Source organism: Homo sapiens, chromosome 10 (assembly GCF_000001405.40).
Source record: "Homo sapiens chromosome 10, GRCh38.p14 Primary Assembly".
NCBI lineage: Eukaryota > Metazoa > Chordata > Mammalia > Primates > Hominidae > Homo > Homo sapiens.
In genome coordinates, this window is record NC_000010.11 from 102,599,552 (window position 1) to 102,613,305 (window position 13,754).

A 13,754-nucleotide genomic window follows, 5' to 3' on the forward strand; every position below is an offset into this window, starting at 1 on the left:
CCCCAGTGTCCCTGGGCTGGAACAAGAGGACGACTTTTTTCTGAAGGGCCTGTCCCTGTGGATTGCATGAGAGAGAACAATGCACATAGCCCTTGCTGGATGGGCCCAGGATCTCTAGGCTTAAGGGCAGGCATGGTCTGGGGCACACAGATCTATCTGTGGGTCATAGGAGAGGGCCTCAGAGGGGACCCAGCAGACCGTGAATATTAACATCAGTAAATATTTACATGAGCCGTGTGAACAGACAGGAGGCCAGGTTGGGGAGAAATCTGACTTGGGGCCTCCCAGCCTTGTGGGAGCCCATTGTGCTGAGCACGGTTCCCTCCTTATCTCAGTCTTGGCCAGAGTTGCCCTTCCTTCCTTCCTGGAGCCTGGTCTCCGGCTGATAGCTGCAACCCTGGGGGCCTCCCTCTCTGGCCAGCCCCATACTGGATGCCTGTGGCTGAGGCCCTTCTTCCTGCCTCTCTTCCCTGGGGCCCAGGGAAGGGAAAGGAAGTCTTTTGCAGGCCTCTGCTGCCTGTCCAGGGGCCCCTGTAGCCCTCCGGAGAGACTGTGGCCACCCTAGAGGTCAGATCCGCTTCCTGCCAACCTCTCTTCCTCTGATAGAGGGGATGAGTGATAGGCAGGGCTGAAGCTGGGCACCCCCCTCTGCCCTTAGTCCCAGGGCAGCTCTAGGGAATAGCTGCTGGCAGGAGATACCTGGGGGCTGGCAGCCCAAAGCAGGAACCTTGCCTGCCAGGGAGGAAATTGCTGTGCCTTGGGCTGAAAGGGAGGTTGATCATCCTGCAAGACCAGGGTGATCTAGCCTTCTTCTATGAAGTCTTTATTACACATTTGCTGTCTGACAAGCTCGGACCTAGGGGGCCATCTGGGGTGCACAGGCTCTTCCTTTGGGAGAACATGAGTGAAACAGTTACCTTTTAATGGTGTGCATCTGGCTGTCGATGTGATTTGTTGGAAATGGCTGCTTCTCTGGATTCTAGCTCTAGTTGCTGATCGTGTTTCCCAGAAGTAGTAATGCTTCAGTGCACTACAGAAAAGACAGGTCCACAGGATCTGGGGTAGTTAGGGAGGGCATCTTGGAGGAGGAAGAACATAGCATCGACCTTGAGGGCACCTTAGAATTTTAATAAGCAGGGGAAGGAACTCAAGAGGATAGCACAGGGGAGGCCTGGCTGGTTAAAGTTGAGGCTGCCTGCTGGGACCTGACTGGAACTAGAGTTACTCTGGGAACAGGGCTGTACTGAGAGTTGAGCTCTTTGGCAAAAGCCTGGAGAAGCCTCCACCGCCACCTCAGAGCAGCTTTTAACTCCGGCCTGTAGGTTTCTCCAGCCAGCTGCCCTGAAGTAGCTGGCTGGAGGCATCCTGATCATCCCCTGGCAGCAGCAGATGGCCACACCAGGTCATACGACATATGGAAGCTCTCTACCTGTGAGTCTGGACCCTGTCCCGGGTCTACACTCCTTCCCATTCCCTGAGCTTGGCTTCTCGCTTTGGGCCTCCTTGGCACTGTTGGCAGGCCAGAGGTACTGGAAGGCCTATAACATGGACACAGTCTCAGTCCAGATGGCTCTCTGCCTCTGGAAGCCTGGGGTTTCTAGGCAGAAGGGCACAAGCTCCTGCAGAGATACAACCTTCTTGCCCCGCTTGTGTATCTGGAACAGGCCTGAGATCTCACTCCCTGGCTTGGGGGCACTTCCAGCTACTGCACCCCTGGACATTGCAATGGGGCACAAGGCTCTGTGCTCCTAGATATACACATAAGCCGAGACTCTCAGCCTACACCCTAACTGGGCAGTCGGGTATTGGTTCTGGCCCAAGGGTTCTCTGTAAACATAAGGCAGAGAGGCTGCAGCTTCTACCCTTTGGCTTGAGTTGGCTGAGATACAGAGAGATGGGTGAGAATAGATTCGAGGTGCCGGGGTTGTCTCCCCTTCCTGAAGGTTTAGTGCCCAGTAAGGTCTCTAAAGCACCAGGACCTGTAGTCTGAGGGGAATAGAATGTTTCCTCTGAGGCTGTCAGTATTGGTTACCAATTTGTTAGCAATTGGTTGAGAAATGGTTTCTCCTCCTCCTTTGCCAAGAACATTCTCCAACACACCCCTCAAGCCTGTCAGACTCAAGTTTCCTGTTATCTCAGGATCGATGATGATGGACTCAGTTCAGATCAGTGAGCGTGACGGTAATATCTGTGCTGCCCACTCTGGGACCTGACCCCATTTCACATACACCACATGGATTGCAACTGAGAAAGCTGACCCAAAATGTGCTGGCACCAGTGTTTGCTCCTCTCCCTGTTGGGGGGCAGCCAGCGTGGGCCATATTTTGTCTGCGGGTCTGATTTCCCCTTAGTCAGGACTTCTGGGCCAGGGAGCTCTTATGCATGGGTCTTCGCGGGTTTGTCTGTGGTCTAAGGAAGATACAGAGCTAAATCAGAGGCTCAGAGCAGCTGATCAAGCCTGGGCAATAGCAGCCGGGTGCCGGCCTACTTGGGGGTGTCAAGCACTTGCTCTTTTCACACTTCAGCAGCAGCTAAAACCTTATTAGTGCTCATTCTGTGCTAGGTAATGTGCCAGCTACTATGTGCTGCCATTCATTTATCTTATCCTCATAGCCATCCTGTGGTCGATAATCTTACATATTCCCCTTTAATGGATGAGGTACAGAGAGGCTAATAAGTATCTTTTCCAAGGTTGGAAAGGGGTAGAGCTTAGTTACAGCCATCTATCAGCCATTAAAATGGATGTAATCTTCCTTACCCCATTCTCAGGGACCCCATGGGGGACACATCAGACTGTGTCTCTGAGAAAATAATGACCTTTACTGGTAGAATTCATCTAACTAGTTGCAGCATGAATCAGGACCTCTCACATGGCACCAAGGACAAGGCCAAAGCCTCATATTAGAAGCTTATTGGGCTTATTTAACTAAACTCTAGGGGAGTTAAATAACTCCTATGAGATGCCATGAGCCTTGATGATTCCAAATCCCAGAAATAACAAGCTATGTCATAATTGGCTCATTTATACCAAAATTATTTTGTGACACAAGGCCTTACTTTCTTCATGTGCAGAAACTAAAACAACCCTCTCTCTGGTCCCTCTACCACCTCAGGGCTAGGGGATTTCTTTCCATTTTGAGGGTCTATTTCTTCCTTTCCAGAAAGGCAGGCCCCCTGGGTAACCCGCTCCTCTCCTACTCTTCATTGCCAGCCCTCCTCCCACTGCCTTCCCGGAAGGAGAGTCCTTGGCCCTCTTTGGGGCTTCTTCAGCATTTCACAACCCTTGCATTCCAGCCATGAAATCTGTATCTGGCTTTTCCCAAGATGATCAGTTGAGAAAAGCCTCCTTCAGCTTGCTGGCGCCTCCCTTCCCACTGCCTGCTCGGGTGAGTTTGGGAAGGATGGGAAGCAGTTCCTTTGTGCCACATGAGGACAGCCTGGCTTAAAGACTGTGCCTGCCAATATCTGTAGAGATTTGAGGAGGGAAAAGTTCCTGGGCATCCTCTCTGTCTGAGGTCACCTGGTCAGACATGGTCTACGGAGTCTGGTCTCTCTACAGTGCACAGAAGATACGTGTGGTCAGGTGAATTGTGTGTAGAGGTTTTCTTTTATTTATTTCTTTTTTTTAGACACAGGGTCTCCTTCTGTCACCCAGGCTGGAATGTGGTGGCAAGATCATAGCTCACTGCAGCCTCGAGCTCCTGGCCTCAAGTGATCCTCCTACCTTGGCCTCCCAAAATGCTGGGACTACAGGCATGAGCCACCACACCTGGCCTGTATTTCTCTAAACTGTTGCTCAGATGCTGGGAACCTGCACCAGTATTCTAGGGCCACCTCCTCCCTCAGCCAGTGACTTACCACCTGAGGCTGGGAACTCTTAGGAAGCTCTCTGAGTTGTGTGCCCTCCCAGAGAGGGACAGGGCACATGCAGGTGTGCACACTTATGTTAGAGGGGAAAAGTTCCTGACTATGGGAGAAGCACTTTGTAGTTGAGGCACCTCTAAAAAGCGAACTCACCATCACTGCTGAGTTTCTCAGTCTTCTAGAATCACACCAGCAGCTTTTAAGACCTTTAAAAAATTTTTTTTGCCTTAATTTCATGGAGAATTAAGATTCTGTACCATGAATTCCTCTGCTGTAACATTCACATTTGCAACACCTCCCCAACATACACACACACACATATACATAGATTTCTCTCTACTCTTAGGAGTGTCTCTGCACTTGTCTGTTTGGCCTTTGATTGGGGTGACTTTGCTCCCTCTAATTCCCATCTTGAATACCTTGTAACCTGGCCAGGGAGTCATCCTTTAGAGAAAATTGTGTTTTGTTTTGCTCAGCTTGTGAGGTCCATGAAGATTAATTAGAGGAAGAAAATATCTTGTTTGCATCCAACTTACCAGTGAATTGGGGTGAAGGAAGGTGAGTTTCCATCTGGGGAAACAGCTGGGCTGTGGCTGGTGCCGCTCGCACGAAGGGCAGTGTTGGGTAACCCTGCTTCAAGGGGTCTCTCCTGTCAGCGCAGTGGCCAGCCTGGAGCCCTCTCTGTCACGTTGGCTTCCCTCACACTCCCACGCTGGGGAAGTACAGTTGCTTGCACTGGAAAGAAAGCCCAGAAAGAAACAGCCCTTCTCTTAGGGCCCCAGCCAGACTCTGCAGGGCTGATGAGAGGAACAGCCCAGGCCTCTCTGCTCCCTGCGTCCTGGACAGCAGGCTCCTTTTTGCCTCCCTCACTGTGATCCATGTTGTCATGCCAAGTGCCTTTACAGGCCTTTCTCAGAAATACATATTTGAAAGGGCAGAGCAAGGGGCTCCACAGCAAGTCTGGCATGGGTAAATTTCTGTTTTAACTCCGTTCTTTGCTCCGCTTCCCCAAAGAGATGAAGTCACGGCCATTGTTAACACCTCAACTTCAGAATTCCTTGCTGGTGCTTGAATTCTCAGTCCAAACGCTGCATCCCCCTCCCTCGAGTTGCACAATCAGGGGTATTTTTATCGCCCATCCTTGATCCTCGGTGTCACCCAACACTTCAGCAGTGAGTCACTTCTCCAGGGAAGGGAAAAGGAAGGCTCAAAGGTAAGAGCTAGAGAAAGGAAATGACTCAGTGTCTCAGAAAAAGGAAAGCTGGGGTTCTGGCTAGAGTAAGCTCATTCAGGAGAGTAGGGGTCCTAATCTCCCACCCAAGTCAGAGGGTAGGGCTGGGGATGGCGGCCCCTGGTGCCCAGAGGAGTTAATAGTTGACTAGGAAATCCCCTAACCTTGATGCAGATTTTACTCACCCTGACTTCTTTAGCCATACTCTGTCCCACCATTTCATGATTTCATGATCACATTTTACCTTTGGGATATTCCCGATGAAAATATTGCCTTTTTTTTTTTTTTTTTTTTTTTTAACACGAGGTGAAGTCTCACTCTGTCACCTAGACTGGAGTGCAGTGGCACAATCTCGGCTTACTGCAACCCCTGCCTCCTGTGTTCAAGCGATTCTCCTGAGTAGCTGGGATTATAAGCACACACCACCACGTCCAGCTAATTTTTGTATTTTTAGTACAGATGGGTTTTCACCATGTTGGTCAGGCTGGTCTCGAACTCCTGACCTTATGATCTGCCCGCCTCAGCCTCCCAAAGTGCTGGGATTACAGGCATGAGCCACTGTGCCCTGCCAAATATTGCATTTTTAAACTGGGTGTGGTGGCTCATACCTGTAATCCCAGCACTCTGGGAGGCTGAGGCAGAAAGAGCTCTTGAGTCCAGGAGTTCGAGACCAGCCTGGGCAACATGGCAAAACCCCATCTCTACAAAACATTAGCCAGGTGTGGTGGCACATGCCTGTAGTCCCAGCTACTCAGGAGGCTGAGGTGGGAGGATTGCCTGGGCCTGGGAGGTTGAGGCTGCAGTGAACCGTGATCACACCACTGCACTCCAGCCTGAGACCCTGTCTCAAAGCAAAAAAAGAAAATACTGCATTTTGTCATTTGGTTATTGGTGTTTACTATTCACCTTTTGTGGCCTTTTACTCCTATATTGTCCTTATAAGAAAATTTGTCAGAATAACCAGGTTATACAGCCTTGTGCTTAATAAGAACTTCAGAGGTGAGCTGGTCCCCTCTCCCTCGATCCCACAGCCACACCCTTTTCCAGTTCTGCCTTAAAGGGAGACCTGCAGGTGGTTCTTTCTCTGGAAAGTTCAGAGCTTTCGTCAGCAATCAGAAAGCAAAAGGAAGAATCTCCCAGGCAAGGGGCAGAAGCCAGAGGTTGGGCTGGGCTCAGCAGGCCAAATCCACTTCACTTGTGAATAGTTGCCAAGCTTGATGCCCTGGTTCCTGTTCCTGGGCATCCCCAAGGAGAAGGCCCCAAGTCGTGTGTCCACTGCAGACGTCATGACTCACAGGACTGGGATTGTGGCTAAAAGGAGTCTCAATGGTTCAGCTCCTCTCCTTTCCACCCATGCTGCCACTGACTGAATGGGACCAATGCCCTTTAGGCGAATGTGAAAAATTAAGACTTTTCCGTTCAGAGAGACCAGGGTGGAGGGGAAGCATGGTTGAGACTCTGTTGGTCTGTTATGTGTAGGTAGGGTGATCAAGGCATGTACTATGAACTGTACACTGCTAGAAATCAGGAATCTACCTTGACACTGGAAGGAGAGGGTATATTAGGATCTATAAAAAGTCACCTTATGCAGTGAGAAATACAAGTATAGAATGTGTTATATAGACAGGTGGTTAAAGATGAAATAGATCAGTTTAGATCAATTGCACCTCTAAGCCATCCCATAAACCACCCCTTGGTGTGGTGCTCTCAATATAGAAGGAATCCTGGGCTGGTCCTCGCGGCTGAGTGGGCAGTTTTTATTGCGCATCACCTTGTGCCAGGCCTTGCGTCGTGGGATGCCCTTGTTCCTGTCTTGTGACTTAGAACACTGAGACTTAGCCAGGTTGTAGAACTTATCTAGCATCAGACTGCAGGGATTAAGTGTCAGCCAGGATTTGAACCTGAGTGGTGTGACTCTAGATCTGAGCCTCTTCACTGAGTATTGCCTGTAAAAGAGGATAAAGGTGGAGGGATACATGCCAGTTCACCAGAAAACATAACTGGAAACAGGGTCTTTGATGCCTGCATGCCGGTGCACAGAGGAAAGCTGGTATTTTAGTTTGCCTGGAAACCCCTGAAGGTGGCAGTTCAGGAGAGACCATTTAGCTGAGAGAGGCATACTAAAAAAATAAAGTGAAATCAGCTAGAGGATACACTCCATCCAAATCTAAGTGAGGAAGACATATGGGGGTAGGAAATGGATTCAACATGAGAAAGAGACAAGGAGAATCCGGGGTGAATGGGAGAGTGATCCCAGATGACAACGGTATAGCAGGAATGAAAGGCAGCCAACTCAGGTGGGAGCGGGTTGGAAGGATCCTCTGGAGAAATGTCTCCAAGAAAATAAAATTGATAAATACCTGATGTATTTGAATGTCCTGGGAGGAGGATGTGTGGACCATTGGTAAGAGTAATTTTTTTTTTTTTTTTGAGACGGCGTCTGACTCTGTCGCCTTGGCTGGAGTGCAGTGGTGTGATCTCAACCTCTGCCTCCTGAGCTCAAGTGATCTTCCCTCCTCAGCCTCCTGAGTATCTGGTACCACAGGCACATGCCACCATGCCTGGCTAATTTTTTGTACTTTTGGTAGAGGTGGGGTTTTACTGCGTTGCCCAGGCTGGCCTTGAACTCCTGAGCTCAATCGATTTTCCCACCCGGCCTCCCAAAGTGCTGGGATTACGGGCATGAGCCGCCACGCCCAGCCAATAATAGTAATTCTGATTTAATTGGTGATAAGCACATAGAAAACTAAGACAGGTATTAAATCCAAGGAAAATAGAAAATTATGACAGAAAGGAAAAGTATATTAATATAATACATGGCTCAACTGTAAACAGCATTGATATAGTCATAAAATTTAAACACACCAGTCCACACAAACTGATGGTGCAGTTATCCTGAAAAGGTGGGAAGGTGCATGGAAGAGAGCTAAAAGCTCATCTTCCCTAGTGGGGAGTCAGTAGGTAAAGCCTGAAAAGGAAATACCAGGCCAGGTGTGGTGACTCACGCCTGTAATCCCAGCACTTTGAGAGGCCAAGGCGTGCAGATCACTTGAGGTCAGGAGTTGGAGACTGGCCTGGCCAACATGGTGAAACCCCGTCTCTACTAAAATACAAAAATTAGCTGGAAACGGTTGCGTGCCTGTAGTCCCAGCTACTCGGGAGGCCGAGGCAGGAGAATCGCTTGAACCCAGGAGGTGGAGGTTGCAGTGAGCCGAGATCTTGCCACTGCACTCCAGCCTGGGCGACAGAGCAAGATTCCATCTCAAACAAAAAAAAAAAGAAAAGAAAGAAAAGAAAAGGAAACACCGGGGAAAGTTTATTTAAAATATCAAGGATGGGAGGCTGAGGTGGGTGGATCACCTGAGGTCAGGAGTTCAAGACCAGCCTGGCCAACATGATAAAACCCCATCTCTACAAAAATATAAAAATCAGCCAGGCGTGATGGTGGGTGCCTATAATCCCAGCTCTTCGGGAGGCTGAGGTGGGAGAATCGCTTGAACCCAGGAGTTGGGGGTTGTAGTGAACCAAGATAGCACCATTGCACTCCAGCCTGGGCAACAGAGCGAGACTCTGTCTAAAAAAACAAAAAAAAAATTTAAGGAAAATGCGAAAGAATCATCTACAGAGGTGACAGTTGTCTCCGAGGAGGGGAGCATGGGAAAACAGTGACTATTGTAATGACCCTCATGAAACCGTTTGACTAAACACTAAAAAAGAAAAAAGAAAAAGATATTGTATGAGCTGTTACAGTTTACCCTGCCCAGTGAAAAGAAAGGATGATGTGTGCCAGGTAAAAAGCACACAGTTAGTGCCAAGGCAAGCCCAGGGGAACTTCAGCTTCCCCAGCCTCAGGCTGAGAGTTGAGGGTGAGCCATGGAGAATCATCTGACAGCCCCCTGAAAAGTGTCTGTCTCAGGGGCACAGAAGATAATGGGGGGAACTTGGCTGTGGACCCAATTCTGACCAGCAGGGAGTGTGAGTCCTGTGAGAAAGCAGCTTGGGCAGGCAGAGTTCAGGAGGGAAAACCCTGGGCCAGTAGTCCCTAGAGGAGGTCCCCACAGCGTTTTAGGGGATTTTCTTGGGTGTTCAGCCAGAAGAGGGTTCTCTGGCTACAGTTGGAAAATGCTGGCTTACACAAAATGAAACCGGTACATTTTCCCTCTGTCCTCCTCAGAGTCCAAAATGCCAACATTTTGTGAATCTCTAATCTGAGATGGGACATATTCCATCCACCTTTGCCACACCTGTTTTTCTAGAGGCTTCTCTTAAATTAAAATTCCATCGAATACCCTTTGGGAAGTCCTGCCCTGTCTTCCAGGAAGGCAGTTCTTTTAAGAATTCAAGGAAAAGATAGATATGTCTTCATAGTCTTGAAACCCCGGAAGAAAAGACCACTCAAAAGAGATGGGAGTTTCTTAAGGAGAAATGTAGAAATATTATAGTTACTTTTGGGGTTTTATCTCAGCTCTTTACTCATTGTGCGATCTTGGGCTAGTTATTTAAGTTTCTGAGTTTCAGTGTCTTTATCTGTAAAATGGGGAAAATAATGCCTCTTTATAGAGTTGTGATGGAAATGAAAGGAAGCAAAGTACACAAAGGATTAGCATGGGACCCAGCACCATAGTCTGTGCTCAATAAAGATGTCTCTTATTATTGTGAATAGTCCCCTGAAAACCAAAAGGAGGTCTATTACCTCCAGGGACCAATATAGGTCTGTAGAGAATACTTCACACAACTCAATTTGGAAGAATTTGAACAAATGCTGGAAGGAGAGAGATGTTATGTCAGCATAGACTTTAAAGAACAGGGTCAAGAAAAGCTGAAACTCAAGAACTGAGTCTTGCAAAAAAAGTGCAATGACCAGCAAAAAGGACATTATTTTTGTACTTCTCTTTGGAGCAAGAAGAAGAAAACCTAGACCCAATTGTTTGGACAGAGTAACATTTATCAGTGGCAGAGAGAAAGCAAAATTTGCTTAAGTTCTGTTATGGTTCCATATTAAAGCAAATGGTTATCAGACCAGGAAGGGTCCCACAGGCATTGACAAGAGGGTTGAATCTATTATTTCAGCTCTCCTGGCTCACATGTATTGTGCCTCCAGAACACCAGAATTGGCAGGCGAGAGTCATGAAGCTGGTGTCAGCAATCTTTGAGGGAATGGGAGAGAGGTGTTGGCAGACTGGAAGTACTCGGAAGTTTCAGGATGCAAAAAGCATCTTGCACTCTCTAGACTAGTGAGCTTGGTGTCACTCTCAGTGAAAATTCTGGACTAGATTATTCAGCAAGTAGGCTGTGAACACTCCAAGGGAAAGAGCGAGTCCTGAGAGTCAGAAACAGCCAGGCTTGCCAGACCATCCTCATTGCCTTTTTATTTATTTATTTTTAATTTTTTCCAAAGACCGCTAAGTGGACTCAACATCGTCGTTGCCTTTTTAGAAATGCCTACCTGGCTGGGCGCGGTGACTCACACCTGTAATCCCAGCACTTTGGGAGGCTGAGGCGGGCAGATCACTTGAGGTCAGGATCACTTGAGGTCAGGAGTTCGAGACCAGCCTGGCCAATATGGTGAAACCCCGTCTCTACTAAAAATACAAAAATTAGCCAGGTGTGGTGGTGGGCACCTATAATCCTAGCTGCTCGGTAGGCTGAGGCAGGAGAATTGCTTGAACCTGGGAGGCGGAGGTTGCAGTGAGCCGAGATCACACCATTGCACTCCAGCCTGGGCGTCGCAGCAAGACTCTGTCTCAAAAAAAAAAAGAAAAAGAGAAAAGAAATGCTTACCTGCCCAAGTAGACAAAGGAAGTGCTGTAGACCTTATATAGGCGGGGTTTAGCAAGATGTTTTGAGAACATTCTGACAGCATTATAGGCAAAACAGAAATGTCCAGAGAACATCCAGAAGGGTGAGGGCCGTGGCGATGGGAAGGTTGGGTTGATTTATAACTGGTTGGATGAGCATACCCAAAGAGTAATGATGTCAGTCCGTCAGCCTGTCTGCCTAGCCCTTTCCTGTTTACTTTTTAATCAAAGCCTGGGATGAGAACATCGATGACGAATTTATCAGTTTTGTCAGTGATCTGAAGTCAGGAAGGAATGCCAATATGATGGATGCCAGAGTCAGGTTTCAGAAATACCCGAACTGCCGGAACACTAGCCAGATAGCGCAGAGTTCTTCTGCTCCTAGCTCCATGTAATCAGCCAGACATATGGGGGAGAACGGGTCCCAGGGCATCCCATGGGAGAAAGCCCGAGGGAGATTTCGTTGACAGAGGGAGTGCAGTGTGAGTTGGTAGTATGAGGAGGTTACAAAGAGTAGATAATTCGATGACAGTTTTAATAGAAATAAAATGTCCTGGACAAGAGAGATCATAGTCCCTCTGTGATCTGCACTGGTGAGGTCACATACTATGTTTATTGCCACACACGACACTTCACTTCTGGATGGGACATCAAACTTTGACAGGTTAGAATGAGCCCAGGGGAGGTGACTTGAATGGATGGAGGATTTCAGAACCTTGTCAAGAATCTAGTTAAAAGTTAGAGCCACAGATAGTAGAAAAAGAAACTTGGTGGGATGTGAGAGCAGCCTCAGGGATTGGAAAGTCTGTTATGGGAAGATGGATTCAGCTCGCTCTGGGCAACTTGAAGAACAGTGGTTTGAGAATTGCAGGAAGGCAGCTTGTGCTCTGTAGAAGGAAGAGAGCCCTGGCGTCACCTCCCTCAGTAGAGCAAAGGCCTCAGTGTTTCTGTTGGACTGTAGTTGGGCCTTTCCAGAGCACCAGTGGTTGACCAAAGCCTGCAGGGTCCACTCAAGGAGTCAGGAGCTCTTTCAAGCCCCATCTCAGAAGTACCCTCTCCCAAGCTCCAGGCAAGAACCTTTGTTCAGCAGGGAACTGGCCTGGCCAGAGGCAGTTGTAAAGGCAAACAAGTTTTGGTTAAGCCATTGACATTTTTACAGGAGGAGCAGATAGACTTTTAGAGGCAGCCAGCTAACGTCAACACATTAATGCACTTGTCAGATATATTGTGAGCACCTACTACATCCCAGGCACTATTGGCCTTATCTGAGTCATCCCATTTAGTCATAATGACCTATTGTTATTTATTCTTGTTAAGAGGATACCAAAGCCCAGAGAGAAGTTAAGCCCAATGTCACATAAAACTGGAACCCAGAACTTAAGCTGTTAGCCACTCTGCCTCCTGGAGCACAGCCTTGGCCCCATGCCCCTGGCAGTCCCCAGCGGGTATGAGCTGTGCCTCCCTGAGAGCCCCTCTCCCTTCCAGCCCCCAAAGCCATGCCTTCCCCTCCACTGGGAACTCAGGGAGAAAACAGCCCAGCTGAAAAATTAGGCCATGCTGCCGAGCACACTACTTATTTTTTATGACTAAGATTAAGCTGACAACCATGCAAAACATTGCAAACCTGTGTCGGCTGCAGATTTAATACCTCACCTAGCCCACACAAATAATTCATGCTTCTGCATCGATGTCCAGAAGAAACAAATCAGCAGAAAACTGGGTTCTTGTGTGTGTGTGTGTGTGTGTGTGTGTGTGTGTGTGTGTGCACGCGCATGTGTGTGTGTGTGTATAGCAGCCGCGTTTCCATCGAAGCAGCATGCCGGAAATACCCAAGCTCCAGGACTGCAAATCTTGCATTTTGCAATTTTTTTTTCTCTTAAAAGATTAAAGTACAGTTTCAAATGATTGAAGGTTGGTGGGAGGTGTAAATGTGGGCACTTGTCACATTAATTCTTCAGATGATTAAGTTCTTTTCCATTTCTTTAAGGCTGTTTGCAGTTGGGTTTGATGTCCTGGTTCTGGGTGAGTGTGTTGTGGCAGTTACCAAGGTGACTTTAGCTGACTTTCAACAATTTATTTTTCCCTCCAGCTTGAGACGTCTCTAGCCCTGTGTGCTGTTGATTCTTTTCTGCAAGCCCCCACCCCACCTCCCATTGCTATTCATGAGCATTTTTGCCTGCACCATAGAGGCTGGGATTCTCTAGCACGCCCTGCCTGGACAAGCTAGGCCTCAGCCCCTCTCAGGAGGACAGTAGTGTGTCTGGAGGCAGGAACCGGTGGTCAAAGATGGCACAGGGGAGTGATTGTGAGAGTCACCCCCTGGTCCTTTCGCTTAAACTCACTCTGAGCCCTTCGGCTCGTCACCTCACCTCCCTAAGCCTCAGTTACCTCCTCTGTGAAAGAAGGCTTGACAACAGAGCCTACCTCGTGCTTGCTGGGAGGAATCAGCGAGTGAACCTATGGCCTTAGCAGAGGGTTGGCGCAGAGTAAGGGCTCAGGAAACATGGCTCAGGAAACACTGCTTCCTGAGTTCTGCTCTTGTTTGGGCCCTGAGGGCACCCTATGTCTCCACTGAGCCCTCACCTGTGACTGCTGCCTCCCTCAGAAGGAAGGGAGGTGCAGTGGCCCTGGTGGAAGGGAAAGAGAGTTGGTCGGAAGTCTGAGGCTTCGATCAGAAGTCTGACGCACGGTGAGGGGGGACGCGTCACCCACTCTCTTTTGTAAAGGAAAGAGGGAGATTAAACAACCTCAGAGTTTCCTTCCAGTCCTGAATACTGTGACCCTCTTGGCCATAGCATTTGTCTCCTTCACAGGTCTTGCGCAAAGGCGAAGCCAGGGGAAAAGGCAGTTTTAGAGCTGGC

General features: G+C 48.6%; 1 protein-coding gene across 12 annotated transcripts in view, besides 2 other annotated features; it reads left to right on the forward strand.

Moving 5' to 3' along the window:
* The window catches only part of SUFU (SUFU negative regulator of hedgehog signaling), a 130,717-nt gene that overhangs the window by 96,733 nt on the left and 20,230 nt on the right, over positions 1 to 13,754 (forward strand). The window lies entirely within an intron of this gene.
* Positions 201 to 951: an enhancer, noted in NCBI's record as "H3K27ac-H3K4me1 hESC enhancer chr10:104359509-104360259 (GRCh37/hg19 assembly coordinates)". NCBI's record gives its function as "activates a minimal SCP1, AML or CMV promoter by ChIP-STARR-seq in naive H9 embryonic stem cells {active_cell/tissue: H9 hESC(naive)}" and the evidence as "EXISTENCE:reporter gene assay evidence [ECO:0000049][PMID:30033119]".
* Positions 4,169 to 5,368: an enhancer, noted in NCBI's record as "P300/CBP strongly-dependent group 1 enhancer chr10:104363477-104364676 (GRCh37/hg19 assembly coordinates)". NCBI's record gives its function as "activates an origin of replication core promoter dependent on BRD2, BRD4, P300/CBP, MED14 and CDK7 cofactors, with strong dependence on P300/CBP, by STARR-seq in HCT116 cells {active_cell/tissue: HCT116}" and the evidence as "EXISTENCE:reporter gene assay evidence [ECO:0000049][PMID:35650434]".